The sequence below is a fragment of the Homo sapiens genome, chromosome 13 (genome assembly GCF_000001405.40).
Source record: "Homo sapiens chromosome 13, GRCh38.p14 Primary Assembly".
NCBI classification, from domain to species: domain Eukaryota; kingdom Metazoa; phylum Chordata; class Mammalia; order Primates; family Hominidae; genus Homo; species Homo sapiens.
The window spans coordinates 90169720-90180459 of NC_000013.11; the positions used below are offsets into that span (position 1 = coordinate 90169720).

At 32.2% G+C, this 10740-nt stretch overlaps 1 pseudogene; it reads left to right on the forward strand.

Annotated features, from left to right (window-relative positions):
- FAR1P1 (fatty acyl-CoA reductase 1 pseudogene 1) lies at window positions 1144–2388 on the forward strand (annotated as a pseudogene).
- Window positions 2389–10740: the final 8352 nt, after the last annotated feature.

Here is a 10740-nt window from a genome sequence, read left to right on the forward strand (position 1 = left end):
ACTTACAAATAACGTACGTGTGTGTGTTTTTTACCTAACACCTGTTAGAACAGCTATTATCAAAAAGATGAAAGATAACAAGTATTGGTGAGAATGTAGAGAAAAGGGAACTCTGGCACACAATTTGTGTGAATGTAAATCAGTACAGCCATTATGGAAAACAGTATGAAGAGCCTCCAAAAATTAAAAATAGAACTACCATACAAGCCAGCTATCCCACTACTGGGTATATATCTGAAGGGAATGAAATCAGTATGTCCAAGATATCTCTGTATTCCCATGTTGATTGTAGCATTATTCACAATAACTGGGCTGTGGAAACCAATTATATTAATTAAGAAAGATAGAACGAGAGGAAGGAATGTAATGAGGGATAAAGGAAAAAAGGAAGGAAGGAAGGAAGAAAAAAAGTAAGAGAGAAAAAGAGACCGAGAAAGAGAATCGGAAAAAAAATGCATTATTAAGAATACCATGTCTGTCCTTTCTACATTTTTTTCCCACTTCTTTTCTGCCAGGCTAGAAAAGGAATCACTGGAGAAAGGCAATAGAACCAAGTACTGATATGGGCCTGGTCCATGATGTTAGTGAGACTTGTGCTGCCACAAGGTAGGAGACTCACTAAAAGAGAGTGTGAGGGTGTGCTCTGTGGTATGAGCAGAACAGCTTAAGAATGCATCTCGGTTGCTGTGAGTCCCCAGTAAACTGTGAAAAGCAGCCAGACAGTTGTCTGTGTTGTAAAGAGTTAGATGAATACACACTGTGAGTTAACTAGGAGATTCCTCCATGCCTAGCCCAGTAGAAATGGTATGGACTAAATGGATCTGAAATCAGAAATTTTCTCTTCTATCACATAGTGTTTGGGCTTGAGAAGGGACTGTCACCCTGACTGGGACTGCATTTACCATATATATTCTGCAAAAGCGCTGACATGACTGTGCTAAAACTAAGTTAGTGAGGTTGTGTTTCTGCTACTAAACTGTCCAACAAATTCCAGAGATTAAAGTTATGTTATCCAGACAACTGTTTCCCAGAGAATAAACTGCTAACACTTAGTATATGAAATTTGACCTGATCGAGTTTTAGGGTGAAAAAGTGCAGGTAAATGCTTAAATATTTTTTTTTTTTGAGACGGAGTCTTGCTCTGTCTATCTACCACCTGTGGATCCCAAGAAGCTGATTGATTCTTTAGAGTGGATGGATTATGGCCGAGTAAATGATATCATGCGAAAGTTGATAGGAGACAGACCTGACACATACATAGACACAAAAGCGTTGGCAGAATATGTTGTACAACAAGAAGGAGCAAAGCTAAATGTGGAGATTGTAAGGCCGTCTATTGTTGGTGCCAGTTGGAAAGAACTTTCCAGGATGGATTGATAACTTTAATGGACCAAGTGGTCTCTTTATTGTGGCAGGGAAAGGAATTCTTTGAACAATGCGCGTCTCCAATAATGCCCTTGAAGATCTTGTTCCTGTAGATGTAGTTGTCAACAACAGTCTTGTGGCAGCCTGGTATTCCGGAGTTAATAGAACAAGAAACCTCATGTCATATAATTGTACAACAGATAGCACTAATCATTTCCACTGGGGTGAAGTTTAATACCATGTAATTTCTACTTTCAAGAGGAATCCTCTCGAACAGGCCTTCAGATGGCCCAATGTAAATCTAACCTCCAATCACCTTTTATATCATTACTGGATTGCTGTAAGCCATAAGGCCTCAGCATTCCTGGATGATATCTACCTCAGGATGACTGGAAGAAGCCCAAGGATGATGAAAACAATAATTCATCTTCACAAAGCTGTGATGTTACTTGAGTATTTCACAAGTAATTCTTGGGTTTGGAATACGGACAATGTCAATATGTTAATGAATCAACTAAACCTTGAAGATAAAAAGACTTTCAATATTGATGTACGGCAGTTACATTAGGCAGAATATATAGAGAACTACTGCATGGGAACTGAGAAGTACATATTGAATAAAGAAACGTCTGGCCTCCCTGCAGTCAGAAAACATCTGAACAAGTTGCATAATATATCTTATGATTTTAATACTATCCTTGTGATCCTCATCTGACACATTTTTATTGCAAGACCACAAATGGCAAGAAACATCTGATACTTTGTGGTTAGTCTGTGTTACAAGTTTCTGTCATAGTTTCAAGCATCCAGCACTATGAGATACTGAAGACCAAGAACTCAGCATTTGAACATCTATGCCTGTGGTGGACTAAATGCACAAAATATAAAATGTACTTAAGTCATTTCACCTTTTGTCATGACATTAAACCATCTTAGATTGGAGTGTGAAGTAAATTATGGTACATTTTATGTAACATTTTAATGTTTATGCTCATAAAACCTAGTGAACACACTGTGTTTTGCCAGCTCTAATCTACAATAGCTACCAAAACCATGACTTAATATTTTGAGCCCTGGAAGAAAGTGGTGGGATGAAGGCAAGAGTGGGGAAATGGGAACACTAACCAGTATAACTGCAATTCTGGAACATAATTAAAATATGTCTGAACATATAGTGAATTTCTAATTCTAATGTTCAGTGCAATGGAAGATATTTATTTGGACAGTAATACTAGCTAAGTTGGTAGATATTTGATTCTTCAGTGTCTGATTTTTTTCATTAGTTGAAGTGGGTTTTAATTTTGTTAAAATTATAACCAACCTATTTTCACATCATCCTGTAAGTTAAATGATATCCAACATGAAAGACATGTTCTCATTTTTCTTTTCTGATTAAATGTCTGATGCATATCATTTTTCTATAAGCAATCAGCTGCTTTTAAAATCAGAATGCTATGTTACTCTAGTGACTGTACTGGTTCTGAATGGGTTTGAGAATCCACATCAACAACATATGCTACGTGTTTTTTTGATGGAAAGTGAAAACAAATTCAGTAAAACTGTTACTATCAAAAAGAATAGAAATACAGTTTTCTTGCCCACATTATGATCAAATAAAAATCCTGTGAAATTGTGTTTATGTTTTGAAGCAGGAGGATTTCTTAAGACTTTGTTGGAAGTGGGAGCATTCACCATACTTGTGTTCTCCTCCCTGTATAAATTTTATTCATAGGACTTTAAAAAGGCTTGTGCTATCTTTCTGATGAAAACTACAAGTGTGTTATTATGGAAGAATGTATTTGCAGGTAGTAATAACATTAAGAAAATATTCTCATGTGTAAACACATACTAATTTTGACCTTGAAAGATGAATTCCTTCAAGAAAAAATAAAATAATGCATAAGATAATGTGTATGAAATTAAATAAAAGACTTTATTTACATACCACATAAAGTAGCAAACTGTTGAATTAGTTTGAAGATATTTATTTTTTATACATATAGTTTTAGGTTTAGAAAGAAATGCATTATAGAAACAAGTAATAACAAGAAAATTGATGTATATTTTGAGGATACATTAAAATTCCCTTTTAGTCATAATAGTTAGCTCTACCTACTGTTTTAACATACATTTGGTTTCACAGTTTGTTCATCATAACACTTCTAATTAAGTTGATCAAGTTGTACTGTATTAAATAATCAGCAATGTATCTGGAGTATGTTTAAAGAGAACAGTTCACAATACAAAAAGTTACATGGAACTTTACATCTTACATTTCTTGTCAATTTAAATGCAATATATAAGAAGTCTATTTTGCTATTGTGAAAAAACTAAATGTAGAGGAAATCACCTACTTTCATGCAGGTGTATAATCTTGAAAAGGAAAAATGCTTCCATGTTGAAGCCAGACTTTCTGTAGTAAAACTCTTAAATATTATTTTAAAAGAAATATGTATATAAATATCTCTATATTCTTTGGAATGATACTAAAGTCTCTGGCCTTGGACCTACCTGATATAAAGGTATAAGTTACCATGGCAATGTCTGAAAGTTGAATAAATAATGATGCCTTTGATTTAAAGTGGCCCACATAATATACATCGAGTACTCCATCTCTCCAAATGTATTTCCATAATGTGTTGAAACCATGCTAACATTTGCATGATTTTTGTATTTCTGCTGAATAGACTTAGAATCAGGTGAATTGTCTTTGTGTCTTGCAAAAGAGTTGGGGACAACTTGGGCAGACCTATGAAGTGCATAGTGTGTGTCTTCTGAAATGTTTTACTGTTCTTGTAATCTGACTTAAAGAAATGTTAACTGGGAGGGTGCTGAGGCCACTGCATTAATTCTGTGTGTTTAGAATTCTGTTGTCAAAAGTAAACTAATGAATAAATTAGTTTGTCTTTCTGGAATTTAAAGTTCTAAAATTAGTATAAAGAGTATATAGATCATTAATCCCCACCTACTAGACTTTGAACTTAAGTCAAACTTGAACATTTGAGAAATCATTTGTGTCATTTACTAGACATGATTTTTAGCTCTGTTTGACTACGTTTTCTACACAAACTCATTATTTAACAGGATAGACTACTAAATTAAATGTTTCTTATTTCATTTAACTCATTTGATTAAACTGCATTCTAGAACATTTGGAGTTTTTCCCCCTATTCATCCTTAATCCTGGCATATGCATTTGTAAATTGTGATGCCATTGGGACTATATTTAAATTTGATTTGGCAACATTAGCATGTCCTAAGACTCAGTGCAGAGAAGCATGGCAGTATGTCCTTTGACTTAAGGATGGCATAAAATAATCATTTTTGAACCTGTGTAATAAAGCTTGAAAGCAGGGAAAATAATTTCCTTTTCCCCCTTTTCTGTGCTGTCTGTAGGAATTGATTTGGAATTTTTTTTAATTATACTTTTTTATTTTGTTTTAAAAGTAAATTGATAATCTTTTATAAGAAGTAAATAGAAATATTATTGGGTGTCTTTGATTGTAAAGCAAAAAGTAATAAATGAATCCCTGTATTTCCATTATTTATTGTATTTTTATGTTCTGAAAATTGTCTATGAAACAATATGGATAGGATTACAGGAAGCAGTCCTTACTTAAACTTCTTGTCTGCTTTGGGTGTACTTGTTAATTCTTATGTCCTAATTTTATTTAATTCTGTGTTGCGCACACGGCATTTTAGGGGAAGCATACAGGCAGGATGAACACTTTCTGTTAAAGTGTTATTTTTATGTTTTACCTGGAATGAGGCAGGTTTTTTTCTGTTTCCTAAAAACAGTAACCAAGAGACCTCCAGGGTGTCATTAGGTTCCAGCTGCTGTCCTCCATATTGAATGATATCCTGTTAATTTATAGGTATATTTGTAGTAATTCATATGTCTATTAAGTAAGTATAAGAGATAATTCATTAGTAATAGAAATTAACTGAACCCTTTTGGAGCAGGTGAGAGTATCAGGCAGGGGTCAGGTAAGTGTAAACGGCCTTCTGAGCATGCTCTTCCAGGCTGACTGCCAGCCCTGACTTGAAACCGTTAGCACTGACTTGCTCTGTTTAGAGAAAATCTTTCCAAACTTTTGCATGATAAACTAGAAAAAGGAATATATGCCACGTAACTGGATTACAGAAGTGAGTTAATTAATAGTTTCTCTCATAAAAGATATATGAAATATTTTCTTATTGAATTAATATTTTTGGTCTTGAAGCATTTTCTTGTAGTAGAATGTATTTGTCTTTTTTCCTGGTGTTACCCTCTTAGCATGTATCTTTGCTACCCTGAAGATCCTTTTAAACAAATCATCTTTGTCAGTTAAGAATAGTTGTGCAAAAATTGTTAAATAATTCCTTTGATTTGTCTTTATTAAATAAAAAATATGAGGAAAATGTATTAATCAGGGAAGCATTTATTACAATAATTAATCTAATATAGTTGCTGTTATTTAAATATAGTATTTTAAAGGCCTTTATTTGCAAACTATGAAGACAGCAAAACATGAAAAAAGGGAGCACTAACATAACATTTTTCAATAAATTTATTACGTTTTTGCCCAAGATGTTTTTAAAAAAAACTGGTAAATAATGTAAAGTAATGATATAGAAGTTAAGAAGAAATTATTTAGGCAGATAGTGAGGGTAAGGAAGTTCTTGGTAAGGTTTTCCTTTTAATGAAAAGCGGCCCCCAAATCATTTTATTTTCTAACTAAGAGCAGCCAGTAAAATCGAGCTGCAGACACAGACAAGCAAGCTGGAGGTTTGCATGGGCGAGTGCCGGCAGTGGTGCCAATAGGAAAAGGCTACCTGGGACGAGGCATATTCAAAATGGTGGTTCCATCTTCCCTTTTCTTTGCCAGCCACGTGTACTGTAAGATGCTGACAACATGGTGCCAGCCAACTGCAAAGTCATTTTGCGTAATAAGATTATGCAAGATTATTATGTCACACCTGGTCCAACCAATCTGTGGGCCTTATGTAAATCAGAATCCACCTCCTCAAGCCTACTTATAAAATCTGGTGCACTCTGCAGTGGGCCAGATTTCCCTTTCGTGGGCCCCTCTGTCTTCTGAGGGAGAGCTGTTCTCCTTTCTCTTTCTTTTGCCTATTAAACCTACTCTCCTAAACTCACTCCTTGTGTGTGTCCATTTCTTTTATCTTCTTGGCGCGAGATGACAAACTCCAAATATTTACCCTCCATAAAGAGCATCCTCACATGCAAAAATATTTCCTAATTGTATCAAGATAAGGATATAATCATCACTTCAGTGCATGCCTCAGACTACGAAATATATTTTTAAATGCTACATTTATTTCTAATGCAGTCTTTCTCTAACATATTAAACGTATTCAATAACCTATATTTAATTTTAAGGAAATGTGTATTTCTTTAATGTGCAATTCTTATAAAAGGATAAATTAGATACAGAAGGAGCATCAATTTACATTTGTCCTTATATGTTTAATTCTTTGAAATAAAGTGTCAAATCGATTTTAGGTAGCACGAATGAATAAACTTCAAAATTGTGTTTCACATGATGGTTTGGTAAATGTAAAATGTATATTAAACAGGTGTTTTAGATTATGAAAGACTAGAACATCATGCCATCTACAGACAAGTAAATACTTGTAAATATTTCTAAACTGATGATAGCCTGCTACACGAAATAAGCATCAGTAGAAAGATAATTTTGTGCAACAATGGGCTTCATTGCAGATCTCCAGTTTGCATTTTCAGTTAAAAATATGTTTTGTTACAGTCCTAATTATAATTTCTCTGGAAGTTGTAATGAATTATGATTTAGTAGTCAGAATGTCTTTCAGTGTATGTATGGAGGGTAGTGGAAAGTATATAAACCCAGAAGTAGTATAATTAAAAAGATAATGCCTACAATGGTAATATATGAATATTTACAGGAATTTTCTTCACTAAATCTGATACGTGAAAAATATATGTAAAATTATTGTTTATTGGCTTTCTTATATTACAAAAAAATACCCAGTAAGTGTTAGTTATTATTTTTAGGGCAACATTTATTTTTAATTGCAAATATTTTCATTACAATCAATAGAAAAATGCACTGATAAAGATGAAGGATACACACAGAAAAAAATATATATATAATTCCTTAGAATAATTTTATTTTCTCTTATTGGAGTTGACTCAGTGACAAAAATATTTTATTCCTTTTAACTAGTAGGCATCATAAGAGTTATTTCAATATATTTTCCTTTTGTGTTGCCAGTAAACATATTTTTGTTGATTTTGTTGGTGAAGCACCAAGAAAATATGTGATACTTTTTCATAAAATATTTTAAATAAACAAGTTATTTCTATAAAGAACACATGCAAAAAGTAAGCTGATAATTTTTGGTTGAATACGAAGATGAGTAAAAATATACAATATTGTGTATATTCTGTCATTAATTTTCAATTGTTCTGTAAGTATGAAAATATTGTCTAAGTTGCCCTAATTGCTCAAGAACTATAGAACTTTTAATTACATATTTGTCATATGAAAATAAATGCACATGTGAAGAAAAGATCTGAAGAATGTACCAAAATGTATGAGATGCAGAGAAATACACTGTTGTTTCCATAGTAACAGCATGTTCAGCCAGTTGCAGCACCATGGTAACTACAAGAGGAAAAAATATGGAGCACATAAAAAATTTAAATTTGCAAAATTAAAAGATTCATTTTGGTAAATTTGGCACCTGACTATAAAAACCCACATTTTCCTAATTCTGCTTCGGACCAGGACTCTCCTAGGCTTTATTGAGTTTGGTTTTCTATTGTTCCACATTTTATGAAGACCATTGTCATTTTTGAAATATGCTTGGATGGTCTCTATAAAGTTGTTGTAATGATTAAATAAAATGAAACAATTTATGATAAAGTGTTCTGTAAATTGTAAAGAGCTACACAAACTCATCATTATAATTTTTTCAAATTTTGATAAAACCTTGGCCCTTCTTTTATTAGTTCCTAATTTACAATAAATCTTTGCATAAAAATAAGTTATTTAGTTTATTGAATATTGAACCAGAAGCTGATGTCTTTAAATTTTTTTATAAATATTTAACTTTAGATTTCCTTTTAACAGTAGAAAAACTAAAAGTTAATACATAGTTTACATGAAGAATGTAATGGAGGCAAGAAAAAAGTGAGGCTATATGAGACCAGTCTTCTTAGGATTAAAAAAAAATGTAAGTGAATCTCATGGTCCAATGCCGTATGGACAATTTCTTAGTTTTTTCCTGGCAGAGCTGATCTAACGAAGCAGGCTTGAGATTAGCTATTTCTTCACATGATGATTACATTTAAAGAGAGTAACATTTTAAACGTTGCTTTACGTCTTTAGTTTTAGAATTTTAAAAAAAGTTGAATCTTCAGTATTTAATTATAATTTCTCTACCACGATTTGAAAAGCATTGAAAATTTTATGAGTCTTAGAGACACAGTTAAATGCTATTTTTATCTATAGTCATTTTTTTCTGCATGTTGATGTCAAGACATCTAGGTCAACTTTCTCAACACAACAGAAAAAAATATATGAAAATAATTTATTTATTTTTTATACTTAATTATTTATAACATGGTAGTATAGAATAGTGGTTAAGCATCTAGTGTCAGACATGCCCTGCCTAGCTTCCAATCATAGCTCGGATATTTACCATTTCTAAGATGGGGTGAATTACTTGTGTTCTCTGCCTCATTTTACCCTCTGCAATTTTGAAATGATCATTTGTAATTGGAGTAATTATTACTGGTAATTTGAAGACTGAATGAGTAAAAGTGTGCAAAATAATTAGAACAATGTCTAGCATAATAAAATACCCAATAAGTGTTAATTATTATTTTAGCACAGCATTTATTTTTAATTGAAAACATTTTCATTGTAATCAATAGAAAAATTCACTGCTAAAGATGGAGAATATACACAGAAAAAACAAATATATTATTCTTTAGAATAATTTTATTTTTTATTGTATGAAACAAACTATTTACTTCTCAGACTTGTCTATGTCACACGAGTAATATCTATTCCAGCCAATTGTGCACTTTTAATGCTAAAGAAATTTTTGATCACAGATCTTCATTTGATTATCATAGTATTTTTCCATGGTTCATTGTTTATTTTTACCTTATTTTCCTGTATTTTAATGTCTAATATCTCCTCATTAGTAAAGTATATTGCAATTCTCAGAATACTGTTGTCCAAGGTAAAGACTATATGTTTTCTTTTTGATTCTTTGAGAGATTACTAATTTTTAAGTAGAAAGTTTGACATTTCCCAGATGCATTATCATGAAACTTTTCTACACTTCAGCTTATTGGCCTTGTGTGAATTATTAATTCAGGTAATATATAGCAGACACTGGTAACAGTTGAATAATAAAGTAAAAACAGAATGATTATAAATAGTAAATTATATTATATCTCATAAACCTGAGTTCTAATTTTGGCTTCTGTCAATGATTAGTCATATTAATAGGACCAATCATGTGAAAATCTTTATCAATATAACTGTGATTAAATAAACAGAAACTTTAGAATACGTGGAAAATAATGGTTTTAAAGTTGATAATATATAAATGATAAAACACATTAATAAATGAGTAGAATTAAAAAAAATTAATAGTAGATATGATTCTATAGAGCTTTGAATGCCTTTTGCTAAGCAGTTATATCAATTTCTTGAAGCTAAAAAAGTCAACAACCTATTATTAAAACCTCAAAGAGTGCATTATCATCTTGTAATGGCCAGAAATAAATTAATAATCCAGATTTTAAAAATATGTATTGAGACGTCATCCTCATTTTATGCATGGATGCCATGGTGATGCGAAAGATTTTATTTTGCAAGCAAACTAATCACTGAGGCCAGGGAGATGGAATTCGTTGGTTTCCAGGTCCGAGGAATCAGGCTCACTTACTGCTTTTGTTATAGTAGAAAGAAGTAGCTTAAGGCCCTTCTCCAACCCATTAAAAAATGGATTTTCTATGGGAAACTGAGGTTCTGCTATCACAAATAGAGAAAGTGATGTTAGTTGATTAAGAAAATATATATCCACTACCTATGGAAAATTTTAGATAAGCTATTAGATCAACTATTTGGTAACTAATTTTAAAAAACATTTTTTAAAATGTTACTTTTTATCTACCATACTTAGGTGACTGAGTTCATGGTGGCAGGTTAATTGCTCCTTCCATTTGCCTTGAAATTGCCCCAAACAGCTTAAAATTAAAGAAAAAAAGTGTGAATGACTTCTCTTCTAAATATTGCATCAGGTTTTAGCACCCAGGCACTTCCCCACCTCGCTGTCCTGTTGCTGTTGACAATAATTAAACAGTAATTATAA